A 22,342-nucleotide genomic window follows, 5' to 3' on the forward strand; every position below is an offset into this window, starting at 1 on the left:
TTAAAAAATTTTTCTTTTTTTACTAATCAAAAGAGAGCTGGAGTAAGTAGCTACCCCCTTGAAAAATGTTAGCCAGCTCATATTTCACCGTTGTTTGGTAGTTGTACAGTTAAAAAACTTATTTAAGGTATAATTGAAGTGTTACAGGCATAATAATTTTCTTGGGTACAATTTCTGTATTTCATTGTTTCACATTTTGAGCAGCCCTAAGTTAAAACTAAATGATATTCTAAATTAATATAGCTAAGGAAGCTCACCTTTCTTAAGATTTCTGTATTTCTCTACCATTTACTACAGGTTCTTATCTCTACCATTTATTAAAAGTTCTTGATTAGAGCACCCAAAAATAGGCTCTAATTTAATGTGACTGTGTCTGAGGAAGAATAGAATCCATTTTTTCCATTGAGTATTACAAATTGTAATTAAAGTTGCAGGGCATATCGAAAGTAATTTGTTTTCCCCTCATAACAAATGACCAATATTAGAAATCAATAGTATTTATTTATAAACTATAAATTAAAAGCATATAACTTTTAAATTTATAATTCCAATGTGGAATTTTAAAAACATATCTCTTATTTCTGGGATGTAAAACTGAGAACTTACTCTCAACCTCTTCCTGTCAGTGGAGTAGATACGTTTGGTGTCAAGCTATTGATGAGGGCTTCAGTGGTGATGGGACAGAGACTTCAATAGTAGTGATCAGGAGATAGGAGAGGCTGGGCACGGTGATTCACACCAGTGATCCCAGCACTTTTGGAAGGCTGAGGAAGGTGGATCACTTGAGCTCAGGAATTCGAGACCAGCCTGGGCAATATGGTGAAACCCCATCTCTACCAAAAATACCAAAAATAAAAATAAAAAATAAATCTGGGTGTGGTGGCCTGTGCCCGTAGTCCTAGCTACTCAGGAGGCTGAGGTGTGAGGATTGCTTGAGCCCAGCGGGAGGAGGTTGCTGTGAGCTGTGATCACACCACTGCACTCCAGCCTGGATGACAGAGCAAAACTGTGCCTCAAAAAAAAAAAAAAAAAAAAAAAAAAGGAAATAGGAGCAGGTCACAGCAATAGTAACAAGGTAATAGGCATTTTTTTTTTCTATACTAGTGCTGTACTGTCTGAAGCATAGCTTTTTTTGTTTTGTTTTTTGTTTTTGTTTTTTTTTTTTAAGTGCCCACTACCACTGGTCATCACTTTGCTGAAGCTGATAAGCTTGTGTGGCCGCACACTTTTAATGTGGGAAGCCTGGTAGGTTAAAAGAGAAATGTTGGAGAAAGCAGTATGAGAGAGAAGAATGTATAGTACACCTGCTGCTGGCCCAGATGTGCCTTGTTTCATTGCTTCTGACTCAATTCCAAGATACCTTGTGATAGAGGACATTTTAATTTAGTAGAAGGTAGTTTTCTTATCCTGAATAATGTGGAGACCTTACGTATATATGTTGTCTTCCTGTTTTCTTTGGTCTCCATTTCTTCCATGTCTGTGGAGTTTTCGGTACATGCACATAAACCCTAGCCTGTTGTTAGTATGTATCTTTGGCTTTGGGCAACCTTATTGCTTTTTTCCATATATTTTCTATGATACACAACTTAATACATAAGTTGGTATTTTTGTCTGAGACTCTGAGGAGCAAACGTTTTTATGTTGTAGTGCAGTTTCCTCAAGCTTTGGCTTTCAAAACTCCCTTATCCTCAGTTACCTGCTTCTCATCTATGAAAGCATCCTTTAACACCATTGTCTAGAATCAGGACCATACCTGCAGTGTTGTTGTTGTATTTGTAGTCTTATTATAAATGCTACTGACCAGGTAAATCCAGGCCATACAATTCCTAGCAGATGGAAAGCCCCCTGTGAAAGCCCGGAAACTAGAAAGTGTTAATCAAAGATAGCCTGTGAAGGTGGAGAACAATGTGAGGCTAGGTAAGGTCAGAGAGCTGGGCAGGAACCAGGTCATATATAGGGCTGAGTAAACTAGGATTAAGGGTTTGGATTTTTAAGTGTAATGGAAAGTTACTGAAAGGTATAAACTTTTGCTTTAAAGCAAGGAAAAGATACTAGATTTTGTAAAAGCCTTCTAGTGTGCCGTATAGAGAACAGATTAGAGGAAGTCAGGAGTGGAAGTTTCCTTGTTTTGGAAAGGTAGGCAGTAGTTTAAACTCAAGACAAAATTGGCTTGTTGCACAGTGTTAATAGTAGGAATATAGAGGAGTAGAAACAAGGAAAAATTTCAGAGATAAATTTGACAGAATTTGTTGATGAATTGAGTAAATGGAAGGGTAAATGAGAAGGAAGGTCAAAACTGAATTCCTGGTTTCTAGCATGAGTCACTGGGTTGATAGAGATGCTTTTTACTCAGATAAGGAAAACAGGAAGAGAACCTGGTTTTGATTCTCTGTTTTTGGTTTCCTTGTTTTTGTTGGGGAGGCACTCATAAGTTTGGTGTTGGATCTCTTAATTTTGAGATGATTGTGAGAGTGCCAAGAGTGAATGAGAAAGATGCCAGTGTACTTAGGGTTACAGAGCTTAGAGAAAGGTCATTGAGCATAAAGTTTTTTGGTCAACTGTAATACATTATTATTAGAAAGCTGTAACAAAACAGTAAACGTGTTTATATGAAGTTGTTAGTTTAATTACACATATGTATTTTTAAATGTGAAATTTTGCTTTAGAAATATTTTTTCTTTTATTCATGATACAATGTTATTCAAATGCTTCTTGCAAACTTTGACATTGGTGTCTTCATCATTATCAGTCAAAATTCCCTTTGATCATGTAACACTGTTTTCCAGAGTATTTTATCTTCATTTTGATCTGAGCTGTGTGGCATACAAGACTTTTCCAGGAATTTAATCCCAAGCTACAATTACCTTTTCAAATAACTTTGGTAACATGAACAGAGTTGGCCTTTTTGATTTGTTCTTAAAATATATCTTCATCACCTGAGGTCGGGAGTTCGAGACCAGCCTGACGGACATGAAGAAACCCCATCTCTACTAAAAATACAGAATTAGCTGAGCATGGTGGCACATGCGTGTATTCCCAGCTACTCAGGAGGCTGAGGCAGGAGAATCATTTGAACCCAGGAGGTGGAGATTGTGGTGAGCTGAGATCACGCCATTGCACCCCAGCCTGGGCAACAAGAGCAAAACTCAGTCTCCAAAAAAAAAAAAAAAAATATATATATATATATATATATATATATATATATTCATGATTACCTTGTAATTATGTATAGCTTTATTTTCATCAGTTTCCGATATCTACAATGGTGCTAGCTCCATAATTACCAATTCTCTGATAAATTCCTTTTATCACTTGAAAAAAATAATTCTGTCAAGTGACTTTTTAAGTAACTATTCAAACCAAGTGTTTTTATTCAGCTGAATTTTTTTTTTTTCCAGACAGTTCTGTACCAGCCCTTAATCATCTCCTTTTCATGGAAGCTTAGTATGTCTTCATTGGGCATTGTTTTTTATAGCAAAATCACACAGGATGGCAGTTTCTTCTCATGCCATGACATATAGATCCTTTTAGTTATTCCTTGTAGTCTTGAAGATAATGGTTTTGTTGGAGGAGGGCGACACTGCTGTGTGTGTGTGTGCACTCAAAAAATGAAAAGACAGGTAAGCAGGGGAATGGTTTAGTAGATAAAAGCCTTTGTAAGGATCATTATTGAATGCAAAAAAAATTCAACTTTCACTTTAAGATAGTGAATTTCCACTATGGTTTTTTAGCTTATTTTCTTGCCAGTATTTTTCAGGGGAGCTAGATTTATTAATATACTTTTCCATGACCATGCAGAATTACTGTGTAGAAAGGATGTATGTTTCCATTTAAACGACAAAAGTATTTGCAGGCTGTATCCTGGAAAATATCTATAGGGGAAAACTTTTTTTTTTTAACTAGGTAATGGGTTTATTACATTTTTAAGTGAATAAGTATTTTTAAAGTATTTTCCCAGTTTTCTAATATAAAAAATATTGAGTTATAATACATTCTTTAAAAAGTTCTTTGGTATCTTTAACAATTTTTAAGAATGTAAAAGGATACTGACATGAAAAAGTTTAAGAGATTTAGAGACTGTTAACCCCCTCATTGTTCAAATGAGAAATGGTGATGATGCTGACATTTAAGTAGTGCTCTGGTACATGTGGCAGGCCTTGTTATAAGCACTTTCCTTGTGGATACTATTATGCCTCCATGTTACTGATAAGGCAAGTGAGGCACAGAGAGGTTAAATTGACTTGCCCAAGGCCGTGTAGCTAGTCACTGGTGGAGCGACAATTTGAGGCCCTGATGCTGACCACAGTTTCAGCCACTTTCATGAGGTCTGGGAGGGATCAGAAGGCCTCTGCCATCTGGTTACTTCACCAGCTCTGTGTGTTCTCTAGCAATTTCACAATCACTATGCAGGAGTCACTGAGGCCTCGAATCTGCTTTGCAGTCTTCATCCCAAATTCTGCCACCCTGAATGTTTTCAAGCATGGCCTTACAGTTGGACTTGATGTTTTTCAAATCTGTATGCACTTCCACTTCAACCACACATTCCTCCCTTGTGATCATGCTCAAAACTCTAATATCCTGTCTTATTATAACTTCACATTTTCCAGTTTTCTTACTCTCTACCACTAAACTTTTTTTTTTTTTTAATGTACAGTGTCTTGCTTTGTCACCCATGCTGGAGTGTAGTGGTGCCATCATGGTTCACTGCAGCCTTGAACTCCTGGCCTCAAGCGATCATCTTTATATCTCAGCTGGGACTGAGTAGCTGGGACTACAGGCGTGCACCACTGCCCCCAGCTAATTTTCTTCTTTTTTGTAGAGACAAGGGTCTCACTTTGTTGCCTAGGCTAGTCTTGAACTCCTGGCTTTAAGTGACTCTTCCACCTCAGCCTCCCGAAGTGCTGGAATTATAGGCGTGAGCCGCCATGCCTGGCATAAACTTTGATGTTTGCACTTGGTGTTATGGGGTTTTCTTTCGTTTGTTTTTTCCACTTTTAACCCCATTCTCTACCTGACCCAACAGATGCCCTGTGGTCAACTCAGACTTCTCATTCATACCCTCAGCTCTTTAAACCCCGCATCCTCAAACTCTACCAGCTTTGCAAGCTTCCAAGCCTGAATTGCCTGACTCAATTTCTCCATATGTATATCTGCTTAGGGTGTAAAATATAGCAACTAAAAATGATAGAAGTGTACAGATCGGGGCTGTTACAAATCTAGGGCATTCAACTGCAGTTGGACCTCACTGCCATTGAGCAATCTTTTTGTCTTTGGTCAAGGCCCTCTATTACAAACATTGACCACTTGGCTCCAACTGCTTACTCACCCACGTGCCTAATACATAACCTCACCTTCTAATTCACAGAGGGAGGAAAATTCAAAATGCAGGAACTTCTGCTTCCCACTGTGTGCCTCCAAGGGAGTGTGTACATCTGTGTCCTGCTGCCTCATGTACGAAGATATCCTTGTGTTTAGCCCTGCCTCTGTTATGATCCCACTTCATCCCATCTCTGGGATCCTGCTCCTTCAGCCACCCCTTTGGCACCTGTACTTTCAGCTGTTCAGCCTCTACTGGTCCATTTCCCTCAGCCAAAAAACACCCCTTCAACCCTGCACTCCCTCTAGTTATTACCCTATTGTTTCCCTCCCTGGACAAGCTTCTTGAAAGAATTGTCACTCCCCTTCCTCAGCTTAGAACCTGATTTATCTGATTACTTGACTTTTGGTGATGTTGGTCACCCTCTCATCTTCTGGGATACCACTTTCATCATCTTCCTTCTTATGTCTTTGCTCTCTTTGTATCCCCTATTGGATTGAGCCGAAGTCACCAACCTAGTCAAGTCACCCACCCAAGATGAAACCCAACAGTCATCCTAGACTCTTTCCTCCCATTTATCTTTCATAGCCAAATTAGTTGCCAAATCCTGTGATGCTTACCCATTAAACATCTGTCAAACCTACCCCTTTCTCTTTATTCCCATGTCCACCAAACCATTTCAGGCTGCTACCATCTCTTCTGATGTGGAGTGATCTTGGCTCCTCACCAACAATCATACTCCCTTATGTGGTTCTTTTTACTGCCCTGGGCAATAATGATGCTGAAGGGCCCCCTAGAGGAGAAGTCTGTGCCAGAGAACAAGAGTGACCAGAAGAGGGGGAGACCAATGGTGTCCACCCAGCAGAGATATCTCATGAGATAGACTGAAGTGTGGCCCCTAGATTCAAAAATTGATGTCATCTGTCCATGGAGTAGTAGGGTCAAAAGCTGCATTGCGGTAGGCTGACGGGAGTCCTGGGAAGCCTAGAAACTGAGAGTAGCTAGAGATGACTTCTTCCAAAAGATGAGCTGTGGGCTCAGTGGAAGCCCTCTGAAAGCAGTTTCTCAGCACAGTAAGGTCGAAGTCGTCTCCAGTCAAGCCTGGAGCACTGCCTTCTGGGTTTGGTCAGTATAAAGTTCTGGATTTCAGTCTTGGCTTTAGCCGCTAGCAGCTGTGGGGACACTCCACCATCTCAGTCTTTATTACTTGCCAATTGTAGCAGCTTTCAGCTAAGTTTGTTCCTTGCTCAGGGGCTGTTCCAGTTGTCAGCTCTTCCTCCTCTGGTAGGGAAAGTGGAAAACTATTTTTTTTTAATGTTACCACTGTTACAGTCTCTACTGTTGTAGAAATTCTGGATTAAAACTAATAAATCAGGGCTTGTTTCTTCCTTTGGCTATTTCAATAAATTGTTGTTCTTTACTTAACCCTGTTGGATGATATAAGCAGATAAATACAGTTAAGGGAATATTTTATTTGGTTGTGGGTTTTAGTGCCTAAAAACTTGTTTAGTCTCTTAAATTACCCTAACTTGACCTACTTCCTGTATTTAAAATGTAATAATGCAAGAATGACTTTAAATATTAATTAGGTACCATGTATAAATAGCGTAATTATGGTCTGGTTGGATCTGAGAAAATTCTAAGGTGATTAAGGTTGTGATTCATTTCTGTCTTGGGATTGCTATTATTAAAAAGTGTTGCATCATTAATTTTAGCTTAGATAACTATTTTGAAAAGTTAATTGAAAATTTTGTCTGTGTTACTGCCTGCCTGTTTTCCTTCTTGGACGTTATAAAAGTCTGTAAAGTCTGCACTTTTATAGATTTACCTCCTTAATGTATAAAAATTTAAAAAACACTAAATTTTTTAAAATTTCATTGCAATTTAATTTGAATTTCCCTAATGCCTAATGATTTTGAGCATCCTTTTAGGATGCTCACATGCCATCTGTGTATCTTCTTTGGTGAAATGTCTGTTCATGTTTTTGCCTTTTTAAAAAAAAATGTTTTTGTTCTGTTTCTTTTAAGAGACAGGTCTCTCTGTGTTGTCCAGGCTGGAGAGCAGTGGCTGTTCCCAAGTGTGATCATATTGCACTGCAGTCTTGAACTCCTGGCCTCAAGAGATTCTCCTGCCACAGCCTCCCAAGTAGCTAGGACTATAGGCTTGCACCACTGCACCTGATGCCTATTTTAAATTGAAATTATTTTTCATCTTATTGTGTTTTCAGAGTTCTTTTTACATCCTAGATTCAAGTCCATTACCAGATACTTGTTTTACAAATATTTTCTTCCAGAATTTGGCATGTCTTTTTTCTTCACAGTGTCATTAGAAGAGCAGAAATTTTTACTTGTCAATACTCTATGTCTTTATCTTTGTAGTTATATAAGTAACATAAGACTGTTATAAATCTAAGAATATTAAAATATTCCTTTACTATCGAATCTATCCATCTAGTATTTAAACATACTAATTAGTGAAAAAGAATTTTGTGATGTTATAGGCAAAGATAAACTTTTTGTTATAAGAAATAGATTTTGAAAGTTTCTTTTGTATTTCACAGCTGAAATTTCTCTTCATGTTCGAGAAGATGTTTAGGAAAAAAAAAACAAAAAGAATTAATCTAGTATTCCAGTTAACCTGTTTTGCTTTTCTTTTATTCTAGTGTTATCCAAGATAAATTCTGTGGGATTATAAACATTTCAGTAGAAGGCCTGCATGATGTCATGACGGAAGATCCTGAAACAGGAACTTATAAAGAGTAGGTGCATTATTTAATTAATCATAATTGGACTTGGGGGATAATTAAATACATGCTGCATGATTTTTTTCACCATCACTCTATAAGCACAGTATGAAAGTTTTATAATTTCTCTTTTATACAGAAACGTTTTTGTTATTTTGCTTGTAATATTTATTGTTTGATCTTGGTATCACCTTATTTATTTATTTATTGAGACGGAGTTTCACTCTTGTGGTCCAAGATGGAGTGCAGTGGTGCGATCTCAGCTAACCGCAACCTCCGCCTCCCAGGTTCAAGTGATTCTCTTGCCTTAGCTTCCCGAGTAGCTGAGATTACAGGCATGCACCACCACACCTGGCTACTTTTTGTATTTTTAGTAGAGACGGGGTTTCTCCATGTTGGTCAGGGTGGTCTTGAACTCCCGACCTCAAGTGATCTGCCTGCCTCTGCCTCCCAAAGTGCTGGGATTACAGGCATGAGCCACCATGCCCGGCTGGTATCAGCTTTATTATGTTACAGCGACAACCTGAATTGAGCTGCTTTGATTTACTCATTGTTTGATGATTAAGTTTTTAAAATTTCAAATATATTTTAGTCTATAAGTCTTTTTCCTAGTATGTTCTGAGCATGCTCTTTTTTTTTCAGTTTTGCTGTTTATAAAGCCATCTCTAGCAAATGGGAAAGATTGTCACTTGAATCATATTTTGTTGAAAAATATGGATAGCAGATATATGTTGTTGAATCTTATTAAACATATTAACATAATGTGTCTGATATGTCACTTAGCTTTTGAGAAAACTGGAGTTTGTATGAAGTGGAAACATCAAATTTTTTGAGACTACAAACCAAAAACAAGAAAGCATTCAATGTAGGCAGGTTTTTTTCTTTTTAAGTTAATGTAAGGGTTTATGGCTGTATTAGTCCATTCTCACGCTGCTATAAAGAACTGCCTGAGACTGGGTAATTTATAAAGGAAAGAGGTTTAATTTAACTCACAGTTTCGCAGGGCTGGGGAGGCCTCAGGAAACCTACTGTCATGGCAGAAGGGGAAGCAAACATGTCCTTTTTCACGTGGCGGCAGGAAGGAGAAGTGCTGTGCAAAAGGGGAAAAACCCCTTATGAAACCATCTGATCTCGTGGGAGCTCACTCACAAGCACGAGAACAGCATGAGGGTAATCGCCCCCATGATTCAGTTACCTCCAGCTGGGTCCCTCCCATGACACATGGGGATTATGGGAATTCAATTCAAGATGAGATTTGGGTGGGGACACAGCCAAAAGATATCAATGGCACACGACTGTAAATTGTATACTTAATATGTGACAAAGTTTACAACTCAATGTGAAACATTTAGGATATGATCAGATGTTCCTTTGTCCTCTTTGGAGTATACAGTTTAGTTGAGGGGAGGACATGGCTGATAGCACAGTTAAAACACTAGTGATGAATGCAGACAGTTATATCTTGTTTTGTGCAGGGCACACCAAACAGTACAGTTCTAGATTTTGCTTTAATAGTCAGGGAAAGAAAAAAAGGCACTATATGTTACAGTCTTCAGGGAAGGATAAGGGTTAGGATGTAGGAAGTAGAACAAAATTATAACATGTTTTAACTGGAAGAGGTAAGAATCTGAAAGTTACTAGAAAATTTAGAAATTATCTAGTGCAGTCTCATGGAATTAAAAATCAGGATATCCAGGCCCTGAAAAGTTAGCTGGGCACAGTGGCTCCTGCCTGTAATCCCAGCACTTTGAGAGACTGAGGCAGGCAAATTGCTTGAGGTCTGGAATTCGAGACCAGCCTGGCCAACATGGGGAAACCCTTATCTCTACTAAAAATAACAACAACAACAAAAAAAGTGGAGTGACACAGCAGATTTGTGGAAGAGTCAAGATGAGTCAAGGTCTCCATGTGCCAAGCTCAGCCATGAAGAAAAAGTTTTGTTTTGGAAGAGGGAATATGTTGGAAGTAAGGAAAACAAACCAGTTTTAGGATCCCAGCTAAAAGGCCTAGACTTGAGCATTAGTATTGATGAGTAGCTGGAACATATCTGACCACTGGTTTCTTTTATCCCCAGAATTGTTTGGTGATTTCTTTTTATTCTGGGGTGGTACTTTGCATATAGAAACACAGTTGAGAAATAAATTACCAAGAGATACACTTTTCTGTGTCTCTGTTTCAAAGAGTGGTTAGACTAGATCTCTATTAAATCTTCCTACATTATAATTCTATGAATTAAATAGAGTTCTATAAGTTACAGTCCATGAGACTATAAGGCATAAATAAACTTTCAGAAATGCCTGTGTGAGAAACATAAAATACATACTTATGTAGCTAACTTGGCTTTCAACTTCCCCTTCCTGTTTATTTAAACAGTTTATTCAAAAAAGTTAATCTTTCTGGTTCTGTTGAATTCTTATTATAGTCTCTTAACTGAGTGAATTGGAAAAAAGGAAGAAAACTCTATTTCCTTCACCTACATCAGTAGTGTACTAGGGTTCTCCAGAGAAACAGAACCAACAGGAGACAAAAATATGTATATATAAAGAAATTGATTGTAAGGAATTGGCTCACATGATTATGGAGGCTGAGGAGTTCAAAATCTACCATCAGCAAGCTTAGGACCCATGAGAGCCCATGATGTAAGTCTGAGGTATAAATCTGATCATGTCCCTCCAGTGTGGAAATCACCAGTGGACCTCCATTGAGTACAGAATACAGTCCACAGTTCTTTGTATTTCACAAAGGTTACTTAACTGGTTGGCTCTGAAGACGGAAGAAGTACAGTGTCCCAGCTTGAAGCAGCCAGAGGATGAATTCTTCCTCATCCAGTCAGTTTTATTCAGGCTTTCAGTGGATTGACTGAGGTCTACCCACATGGGGAGGGCAAACTGCTTTACCCAGTTTATAGATTCAAATGCTAATCTCATGCAGAAACAGGCTCGCTGATACACCCAGAGTAATGTTTAACCAGATTGCTGGGCACTCAGTATCTCAGTCAAGTTGACACAAAATTAGCCATCACACTAAGAAAGCCTTGTTGACAGATCATCTTTTTATTCAAACTGTTTACACCAGGCACTGTGTAGTGTGAGGAAGCAACTGAGTCTCTCACCTGAGAGAGCCCACAACCTAGAAGGGGAGACAGGGACCAATGGAGCAATACCAGGTGCAAGAGAGAAAGGAGTCCAGGGAAACTGAGAATCATTCTTAAGGATATGTAGTGGATTGGAGCCAACTAGTTAAGTAACCTTTGTGAAATACAAAGAATTGTGGTCTGTATTCTGTAGTCAATGGAGGTCTCCTGGTGATTTCCACACCGGAGGGACATGATCAGATTTATACTTAGAAAGGTCACTTTGATGCATTGTGGAGGACGACAGAAGGGGTAGATGCTGGTGCGTGGTCTCAGACCAGTGGAACAACCTGGAATGCATGTTAGAAATGCAGATTCTCCTTCCTCAGTGCAGACTCATTATTCAGAATCTTTGGGGGTCACACAGTAGAATCTGCATTGCAAACAGGAACTGTGATGTTTCATATACACTGTAAATGAGAACCTACTGCTGTGGAAGTGGGAAAACCATTTAGGTAGCTGTTAAAGTAGTCTTATCTTGGTGAGTGGTGATGAGATGAATTTGAGATATATTTTGGAGGAAGGATTAGCAGGAAATGGGGACAGGTAGGTATGGCTAAAGAGGATTGAAAGGTGTTTACAGTTTGGGTGACATATGACATACACATGCATATATAATTTTTAAAAATAGTTGTGCTTATACCTGTAGCCTATGCTTATTTTTATACCTTGATTTGTCCTCATAACATATTGAACAGGCATTTTAAAATTTAAACAACATTCTGTGTGGAAAAAAATGGAAATGGGCTTTTATTTTCCCTTCTAATGATCCCTCTTTTTTTAAAGTTAGAAAAGTTTTATCTTCCAAGATAAATGGATAGTCAACAGTTGCCTATTAACGTTGATACTAGTATTTCTTCAGAGTTGTACAGAAAATGAATTCTTTTGGAAGAAAGAAGAATTCCATTTTGAGAGTTGAAGAATGTGTTTATTTGTTGGGGTTTTGTTGGTGGGTTTGTGGTTTGGTTGGTTTTTGTTTTTATTATTTTTTTAGCTAGAGTTTTTATTAAGCCAAGAAAATACATTGATGGGGCTAGAGATTTGCCTTCTTTGCTTTCTGCTTGTCTGGTTAGAGTATTTCTCTTTTATTTCCTTCAATAATATTTTTGTTGAAAGGAATATTGGGAAATGAAATTGACAATCCCTTACCAAGGTTTGGGAAGTAAAAAGGAAGAAAGAATTTAGTGGCCCGGCGCGGTGGCTCATGCCTGTAATCCTAGCACTTTAGGAGGCCGAGACGGTAGAATCGCTTGAGCCCAGGAGTTGGAGACCAGCCCTGGCAACATAGTGAGACCCTGTCTCTATTAAAAAAAAAAAAAAAATTGAAAATCAGCCAGGCACATGCCTTTAGTCCCTGCTTAGCAGCTGCTTGGGAGGCTGAGGTGGGAAGATTGCTTGAGCCTGAGACATCGAGGCTGCAGTGAGCTGTGATTGCACCACTACACTCCAGCTTGGGTGACAGACCAAGGCCCTGTCTCAAAAAAAAAAAAAAAGAATTTAGCCAGCATTTTAAGAAGCCTAGAGGCACTAAAATTTGACTAGAAAATGACTCATAAATTGTTTTTATAGCTAGAAAGTACAAAACATACCAAGTATAAAGGAAATAGTCTTATTTGAAACTATTCTGTAGTCAGTGGAGGTCCACTGGTGATTTCCACACTGGAGGGACATAATCAGATTTATACTTAGAAAGGTCACTTTGGTCCATTGTGGAGGAAGACTGGCGGGGTAGATGTTGGTGAGTGGTCTCAGACCAGTAGAACAGCCTGGGATTCTAAAAGTTAAAATTTGGCTTTTATAAGGACTTTTTTCTCCTTCACTCAATACATTGACCCACTGAACGGCTCTTCAGAATAGAATAGAGAATACTAGAAGAAATGTTGGTTCCTGGATTCTGACATCTGTATATTATCTTAACTTGTGTAGATCCTAGTGACCTCCTTAGGAAGTCTCTCTCTCTTCAGTTTTCCCCCTCTGATCCATTCTGCCCCACTTAAAATTAAAAGCTGAGTTTCTTACAGGATCAAGTTAATGGGGCTCTATTCTGTGCTGACTCAGACACCAGCTTTCTCTCTTGTCTCCCTGGATTCTTCATCATTCTGCAAACATGCCATACACTTATGGCTTGACTAATAATATTTCTGCTCCTTGGTGTGTCAAGCCCTTATCCTCCTTCGCAAATATCTACCTCTAAAATTGCATTCCAGGCTTATAGGAAGAATTCATTCCATCTTTCCCTGTTTCTTCATGGCACTTTGTCTTTACTGCTAATATACAATATTTAGTTGCTTATATTCAGTCTAGTGACGGTAAGAGGATTTGAGACAGTGCAAAAGAAAGCACATGCTCATTATAACAGAAAACTATTAACATAGGATTGAAGGGATTTAAATAAGAAACCTTGATTTGGGAAACCTGTGGCATCAGGATATAAAACTTAGCTATATGCTTTCTAATTACCAGGATAAAAAAAAGAAACATTAGGAATTACATGGGTCTTATTTTCAAGTAGAAGAAAGTAGGTTTATCAGGTGTTAAACTTAAGACAAATTCAATTTAACAGAGTTTGATTAAGCAAAGAATTGTTCACAAATTGGGCAGCCCCCAGAACCAGAATTGGTTCACAGTGTCTTCAGGGCTGTACCTGGTCAGATAATATTTATGAGCAGAAACGGGAAAGTGAGGTACAGAAAAGGGAAATAGGGTACTGAAACAGCTGGATTGGTTACAGCTCAGCATTTGCCTTATTTGGACACATGTTCAACAGTTGGCCACCTATGATTGGCTAAAACTCTGATTAGTACAAGAAAAGATTACAATCTCTACACTTCCAGTTAGGTTACACTTTACTGTGTACGAAGAGACCTTCAGGCTGAACTTAAAATGTGTGAGGAAGAAACTTTAGGCTAAATGTAATTTAACACAGGAGAGGGAGACTCATAATATTTCTTCTCACTGAGTTGTCATGCCCTGAGCCCAGAAGTGCATTTTTTATTAATATTTATATAAGTGACTATACAAGGACTGTCCGTTTTAACAATAAAGAATTAGTTGTTTCTGATACACTAATGACTGTAGGTAAGTGACTCCAGGATTAGCTGACTGTGGCCTTAGCAACATCATCAAAGCCTGAGTTTTTTTCTACTCCATCCCCTCAGCATATTAACCTCATCTGCAGGCTACCATTCCTCATCGATAAAAAGTAGTTCTAGGCATTACAGTTCATGACAATGCCACTGACAGATAAGTAATCTTCTTCCTTATGTCTTTTTTAAGATCAAGGCAATCCTTTTCTGGAAATCATTGCATTAGATGTCTTCTTATGTCTAATTGGCCAGAATTCCTTAAACATTCTCCTGCTGAAAGTAATCATTGACCAGGGGAATGGGATCTCCATGATTGCTTATTGAACTACTGGCACTGGGGGGCTGGGATCAGCTTTTTCTGAAACAGTGGTAGCATGGGAAAAGAGGATAACTGTACAGATTCAGGGTTCAATTAGGAAAGAGGCTGATTATATAGGTCCACTACAGAGACCAACTGAACAATGTCAGTTTTGTCTTATGTGAAACGACCCATAAATTGTTTGCTTGCTTGCTTGCTTTCTTTCTTTCTTTCTTTCTTTCTTTCTTTCTTTCTTTCTCTCTCTCTCTCTCTCTCTCTCTCTCTCTCTCTCTCTCTCTCTCTCTCTCTCTCTCTCTCTCTTTCTTTCTTTCTTTCTTTCTTTCTTTCTTTCTTTTCTTTCTTTTCTTTCTTTTCTTTCTTTTTTTTTTTTATGGAGTCTTGCCCTGTTGCCCAGCCTGGAGTGCAGTGGTGTGATCTCGGCTCATTGCAACCTCTGCCTACCAGGTTCAAGCAGTTCTCTCATCTCAGCCTCCCGAGTAGCTGGGATTACAGGCACGTGCCACCACGCCTGGCTAATTATTGTATTTTTAGTAGAAATGGGGTTTCACTATGTTGGCCAGGCTGGTCTTGAACTCCTGACCTCAAGTGATCTGCTTGCCACAGACTCCCAAAGTGCTGGGATTACAGGTGTGACCCACCGCACCTGGCCCATAAATCATTTCTTATATCAGCCTAGCTGAAAGTCAGTTACATAGCCATAAAAAAAATCATTATTAAACAATTTATTGGAGGCCAGAGGTAAAAAAATATAAGTAGGAAGCGTTTTGGTGGTTTGCCCTAACATAGAATGGGGGTTAACAAAGTGTGTGTCCCCCACAACTTCCTCAACAACATTAGCATCAACATGACGGAGGAAATGATGAGAAACCATCACAGAGGAACTTGTGAGACATGCAGATTCTCAGGCTCCATCAAACTCTACTGAATTAGACACTATGGGAGTGGGGCCCAACTGTGCTTTAACAAAGCCCTTCAAGTGGTTGAGCTGAAAACTCAAGTTTGAGAATCGCTGATATTGGACATTAAGAAAATGACTGGAATACTTGGCCTTTGCCCCAACTATCCCTCCTGTGCACACAGATGGGCTCCAGGTAGAGTGGAACTAAGCTTTTTTTAGACAATTGCACTTATTCTGTTCAGGTGCTAGAATAAGGGCAATTTTAAAGCATCCAAATTTGATACCCTGAAGTAGAGAAAAGTTCATTTAGACAACAAAAATTTTGAGGAAAAATACTGTTTATCAGCGCTCAATGAATGTTTGTAAATTCAGCCTTTTCTCATCTGTAAAATGGCTGAATTACTTAGGGCAGAGTTTATATAGATTAAATGAAAGTATTACTACAAGTACCTTTAAACCCAGAAATGACTTAAAAGGTTTCATTTTTTCATGCTAACACCTGTTGGTTCTGTTTAGCTGGTTGAAGTTTCTTCTTGAGAAAGATTCTTATTTAGCAGGCTGGAGTGCCTGGATCTATTCGGTGATTTCTGCCTTGAGTTTAGAATGGAGGAGTGGCCACTTATATTCACGTTAGTCATTCCTATTTTAAACTGTTGTGTTTACTGTTTTATTAGTATAACTATTACTGCATGCACAGTCTACACACTTCAGTTTATTAGAAATCTGTTAATTCTTACGTATCTTTTATGTAAAGCGTGATTGTCTATCTTTAATCTTTATCAACAAAATGAGATTTGACTTTTAGTTGGAAATTTTCCTGCAGGACAGTTTTAGCTTTGGGCTTTTCAGTATTCTGTTATTTGTCTAGTTTTTGGTCAGTGAAAGAAGTAAAATCTGTATATATGTAACTCCAGAGTATACTCTAATATTAATGTGATAAATCTTCTTTTTTTGGGGGTGGGGGAGACAGAATCTTGCTCTGTTGCCCAGTCTGGAGTGCAGTGGCACGATCTTGGCTCACTGCAACCTCCACCTCGTGGGTTCAGGCAATTTCTCCCATCTCAGCCTGCCAAGTAGCTGAGATTACAGGAGCCTGCCACCACGCCTGGCTAGTTTTTGTATTTTTTCTTTTAGTAAACAAGGGGCTTCACCATGTTGTCCAGGTTGGTCTCGAGCTTCTGACCTCAGGGGATTCACCCACCTCAGCCTCCCAAAGTGCTGGGATTACAGGTGTATGCCACCATGCCCAGTCTTAATATGATAAATCTTTTAATTTAGGGAGGCAGAACAGAGAGCATTCACTATATGAGTAAGTTAACAGATTTTGGAATGCAGTGGAAGAATTTGATGCAGAATAAAGCATGCTTTCATGCAGATCCATAGTCATTGCAGTTAGAATTCAGGTCTGCAACAGACATAAATTGGCTAGTGTAAAGAAACCCCATATTATTATTCAGTTCTAAAATACAAACTGGGATGTAGACCTTTTTAAGACACTTCACTTTATTAAATAGCTTTTGGGTTGATAGAGTAATGTAATTTTCTTACTTTGTGTCAGAGTCCATTGGCCAGCTACTTGTACTACACTGTATTATATCATGGCAGACAAAAGCATTGCAGCCCCAGGTCAAGGCCATGCAGTGAGTTAGGGATTGAGTTCCTGCCGTTTTTCAGGACTTCTGATTTCTAGCCTAAGGTTCTTACTCTTTGATCCCACCAGTGGGCACTGACTGGATCAGAGGCAGTCACTCCAAACATTGCTTTTTTAATGGTAGGAAATAGAAACGAAAGACACTTGTTTCCACTGCAAGAATGAGCCTGATCAAGTTTTCTGGTATCCGCACCTGTGTTAGTTCTGTATTAAAAGCTGTTTACACAGCTGAGTCAGGAATTGTCCTTCACCTGTACTTGCTACAAAACAAGAGAACCCAAACTTTCTTTGCCACTGTTTATTGGTTAGGAACCTATGATCATGCTGATAAATTACTGAATTCTCCTGTTACAAGTTAGGAAACAGTGGGATTGTTCCATCAGTTTGATTCACTAGACAGTGTTGATTTCTGGTCTCCCTGGAACCATTGTTGACTGAACAGGAAACTGTTTCTGTTACCTCTGCTAATAGTAAAGAGCATGGTGCAGATATTCAAAATAAAATGATTTATAACTACCCAGAAGGTACAAGTGCTATCAGGACAAGTTCCTCATAGCACAGTCATGTCATTTGGAACACAAGGTAGATTGTTACATAATTAATATGTTTGTGATATTTAAATTATTGCATGTATAAAATTCTGTAGATGTGAAAATTATGGGGAAAAATAAGTATTTTAAGAGTTTATGTCATTTTTAAATAACATATAAAGTGTATACATGCATTACTTTGTCAGCTGATGGTTCATTGTTTCAGAAGTGGCGTATAAATAAATTACTAACTGAAATGCCCAAGTAAAATGCTCTAAAATGTTTTAGTGTGGCCCTTTTTATAGTGAGATATCTTTTCATAATTCAAAAATTTTGTTAAATTTTAAATTATCTAGTCTTTTTCTCACATTTTGGTGTGAAAAACTAAGAACATAGAATTATTCATGTTCTTAGTGATTTTAAGGACTTATTTTTAAGTGTATTATAGACATTTTTATTTAAAACATGTTTTTTAAAAAATTATTATAGCTGTATGTTGATGTCTCATCTTGAGGAACCAAAAGTAACAGAAGATGAAGAACCACCCACAGAACAAGATAAGAGGAAAAAGATGGTAAGTTATAAAAGTAGCTTGTAAAAATTAAGAACCATATATTATCATTTTCTGTAGGTTCAGAAATATCTATGGTCTATTTGTCCATCCAGCTATATGTCTATCCATCTATCCCATGTTACAGAATTAATGTAAGGTGTACCCTAAAACAGATACATTTTATTCCTAGTACAGAAAGTTGAGGTTAACTTTTCATCTGAAATAACTGTTGCTTATCTTAGTGCAGAGCAGATGATTTAGTGTTTTACTTATGGAAGGTATGTGTGACCTGCAAACCTTATTTAAGTTGAAATGTTTATTCTTCTGTTTTGAGGAGATGTACTGAAATTTCCTTGCATTCCCTATTATTTTATAGATCTTCACATGAACTTTTGCTGATCTGCATCACAGGCTTTTATAAAAATGCCCTTAAGTTAACCACTAACTTGTTGTAAAAACCACTAATTCTCACCAGAGGAATCTGATAAGGGGAAAAGAACAAAAAAAAAGGAAATATCTAAAATATCTTGCCTTTTAATATTATATATAATCGTGAATGTTTAAATATTTATTTTTACCATAAATAGAAAATAGGTACATAAGAAACTATTTTTTCCCTTTTCTTTTGGAATCTTTTCTTGTCTTCTGGCCTCATCATTTAACTAACTTTATTATACCTTCTTTCCTCATTTGCAAAATGAAAACAATTGTATCTACCTCATAGATAGAATAAATAATTAAAATGGTTATGGATACCTAGTAATTACTCTGTAAGAGTTAGCTGTCATTTTAATCTGATCATTGTATTTACACCTCGCATTACAGCACGTTAGCTCTCAAGGGCCTAATCCTTAGCTTATAGCTAACATTGCACTGCTCTGAGAGCCTTCTTTTAAACTGTTTGAATTTAACTCATTTTACTTTGCTTTTATGCTAGGTATCATCTCCCTAGCACATAGTGTAGAGGAAAGGACAACATCCAAAGATTCTTAAGACCTGAATTCTAGTCCTTTTTTACTATTACTTGTGACCTTGAGCAAGTCACCTTGTCTTTGTAGATCCGTTTGCCTCATCTGTGAAAAGCGGCAGAAATTGGATTAGCATATTTCCAGGGTCTTCGAACTGAAAAATTACTGTTAAAACTCTTAATATCATTACTTTTCTTCCCCCAAAACAATGTTTGTACATATAATAAGTCCTCATTTAACATCATTGATAGTTTCTTGGAAACTGTAACTTGAAGCAGAAAAACATATAATGAACCTAGTTGTACCATGGGCTAATTGATCTAAACAAGAAGCTCCTACAGCATATTTCTGGTCACAAAAACATCACCGAACTTCTTAATAAAGATCCAAAACACTTCTAATATTTAACATTGAAGTAAGTGTGAGCTATATATACGTTTAAGAAAGATTAATGAAAACAAGTTAAATTATTTTCCCTTGTTTTTGGTGAATCAGTGAGTGATGATGGTCGTGATGGTGGGTTAAATCAAGGAATAAATGTTTGCAAAGTGAAAATTGTAAGGAGCACCTCCTACTGCCATGCACTTCAAAAACGAACAAATCTGGCGAGCTCGCTGAAAGCTTTCATAGAGCAGCATTTATATGCATTTGTATGACAATAATTTGTATTCATTCATTCTTTCATTTTTGCAACCCACTTATTCTGCTTTACGGTAGTGGGTGGCTGGAGCCTGTCCTAGCAGCTAAGGGTGCAAGACGGGAACCAGTCCTGGACAGGACACCATTTCCTGACAGGGTGCACTTGCACACACTTACACTCAGATGGGAACAATTTAAACACGCCAGTTCACCTAGTGTGCACAGCTTTGGGATGTGGGAGGAAACTGGAGTACCCAGAGAAAAGTCACGCAGACATGGAGAGAACATGCAAACTCCACACAGACAGTGGACCCAGCCCAAATCCATTTGTTTTCCTTTTCAAAGTTACAATGAAATGATGATAGCAAGGACCTGCTGCGCAGTCATGCACTGCTCAGCAACACAACATTTCGGTCAACAGCACACTGCATATGATAGTGGTCCGATAAGATAATGATACCATATTTTTACTGTACCTTTTATGTGTTTTGATGTGTTTAGATACACAGATACTACTTGGTTACAGTTGCCTACAGTATTCGCTACAGTAACATGCTGTACAGATTTGTTGCCTAGGAGCAATAGGTTATACCATGTAGCCTAGGTGTATTGTAGGCTGTACCATCTAGGTTTGTGTAAGCACACTCCATAATGTTTACACAAGGAACTTGCCTAACAATGCATTTCTCAGAATGTATGCTCATCTTTAAGCAATGCATGACTATATATCTCGAGAAGTATTTTTCCTTTGAAATTAAACTGTTTTGTGGTTGTTTTGTTTTGTTTTGTTTTGCAATGGAGTCTCGCTCTATCACCCAGGCTGGAGTGCAGTGGTATGATCTCGGCTCTCTGCAACCTCCGCCTCCCAGGTTCAAGCAGTAACCATACCTCAGCCTCCCGAGTAGCTGGGACTACAAGTGTGTGCCACCATGTCTGGCTAATTTTTTTGTATTTTTAGTGGGCACGGGGTTTTGCCATGTTGGCCAAGCTGGTCTTGAACTCCTGACCTCAGGTGATCTGCCCACCTTGGCCTCCCAAAGTGCTGGGATTGCAGGTGTGAGCCACCATGCCTGGCCTATGTGGTATCTTAAATACGTGGAAAGTATTTTTTTTTGCACCTACAGTAATAATCTCTAAGTATAGCCTAACATTTGTCTTTCTACTGCTCACACCCCCACTTTATCATTCTAATTATATGTAGTATTGGTTTATAAAACAACCATTATTTTTTTAAGTGGCCGATTTTAAGTTACTTACTACAGTAGATATTTAATATAGATTTATATTATCATCTCTAGTAAGATTTCCAGTACCTTGGTCTTGCTCTTGGATACCCACTGCTCTTAGATATGCTGAGGATACCACAGCAGTTTTTGACTGAAGCTGGGATTGTGTATTGTATAACATTTAATAAATCCAATTATGAATACATGCTAATTTTCCAACAACTTTAAACAAAGAAAATTTGTTTCACTTATCTCTTAGAATTATAAGTTAATGTATTTTTTCAGTAATTACGTCAATCTTGAACTGTATTGTCTATAACGTTAGACATTTTTTGAGAACTATCCAGCAATATCTTGGTTGTTTCTTCAAAGGGGGAGAGTAAACATTTGCTGGCAAATGGTTATGAATTATTCTTTACAAAAAAATTAGCAAAGGCTTTTCTCATTTTAAAATGAAATTATTTGCTAGGAAGAAAAATATAGCTGCTTAGTTCCAAGGTCACATAAATGAAAATTTGATTCGCTTACTGTCATTGTTGTCTTAAAGTAGTCCATAAAATGTGGTGTCTGTGTTTCAGCAGCTGCTTTGGTAGAGAATAGCAGTAGTGATTGTAGTTCAGAAAGGCAGATGATTAATATTATATCAAATGTGCCAAATAATTTTCCATACGTTTCTGAGAATTCTCTATATTTTATTTCAAATAAGGATGAAATTTACACTCAGGAAAGCTATTAAGCTGTCCAGCCTTTTGATCTCCCTTTTCATTCAGCCTCTCTCTCTACCTTTCATTTCGGTGAAATAATACTTAGAATAGCACATGCAGCTCAAGCATTTCATTTAATATATGTTTCCTTTCTGTCCAGTATATTCTAATTAGTAGAATAATAATTTTATGACCTTTACTATAAAGACTTCAGCTAATTTATTAACATCTTTAGTTTTTTGTAATTTTTTGAAATCTGACTCATAGTCACTTGTAAGTTGTAATTTCCAAATTCTAGTTTTGAGCATTTTAATGCTTTCTCACAACTCTATGATACCAGCTAACAAAGTATTATTATTATTATTATTATTATTATTTTATTTACTTTTTTGGGATAGTCTTGCTCTGTTGTCCAGGTTGGAGTGCAATGGGTGCAAACATGGTTTACTCAGCCTCAACTTCCTGGGCTCAAAGAACCTTCCTGTCTCAGCTTCCTGTGTAGCTGAGACCGCATGTGCATGCCACTACGCTAATTTTTACATGTTTTGTAGAGACAGGGTCCCACTTTGTTGCTT

The 22,342-nt window shown here is 37.9% G+C and overlaps 1 protein-coding gene and 1 long non-coding RNA gene across 3 annotated transcripts in view; both read left to right on the forward strand.

Moving 5' to 3' along the window:
* Positions 1-22,342, forward strand: part of IPO11 (importin 11) — a 215,820-nt gene that overhangs the window by 170,835 nt on the left and 22,643 nt on the right. For both annotated transcript variants that reach the window (NM_016338.5, NM_001134779.2), the window contains exons 28-29: positions 7,980-8,075; positions 18,167-18,251. In NM_016338.5, coding sequence (NP_057422.3) covers positions 7,980-8,075; positions 18,167-18,251 — 181 coding nt within the window. The remainder of the gene's footprint in view (positions 1-7,979; positions 8,076-18,166; positions 18,252-22,342) is intronic.
* Positions 1-22,342, forward strand: part of IPO11-LRRC70 (IPO11-LRRC70 readthrough) — a 49,855-nt gene that overhangs the window by 4,863 nt on the left and 22,650 nt on the right. The window contains exons 2-3 of the long non-coding RNA NR_073584.1: positions 7,980-8,075; positions 18,167-18,251. This is a non-coding gene — a long non-coding RNA (IPO11-LRRC70 readthrough). The remainder of the gene's footprint in view (positions 1-7,979; positions 8,076-18,166; positions 18,252-22,342) is intronic.

Source organism: Homo sapiens, chromosome 5 (assembly GCF_000001405.40).
Source record: "Homo sapiens chromosome 5, GRCh38.p14 Primary Assembly".
Taxonomy (NCBI): Eukaryota; Metazoa; Chordata; class Mammalia; order Primates; family Hominidae; genus Homo; species Homo sapiens.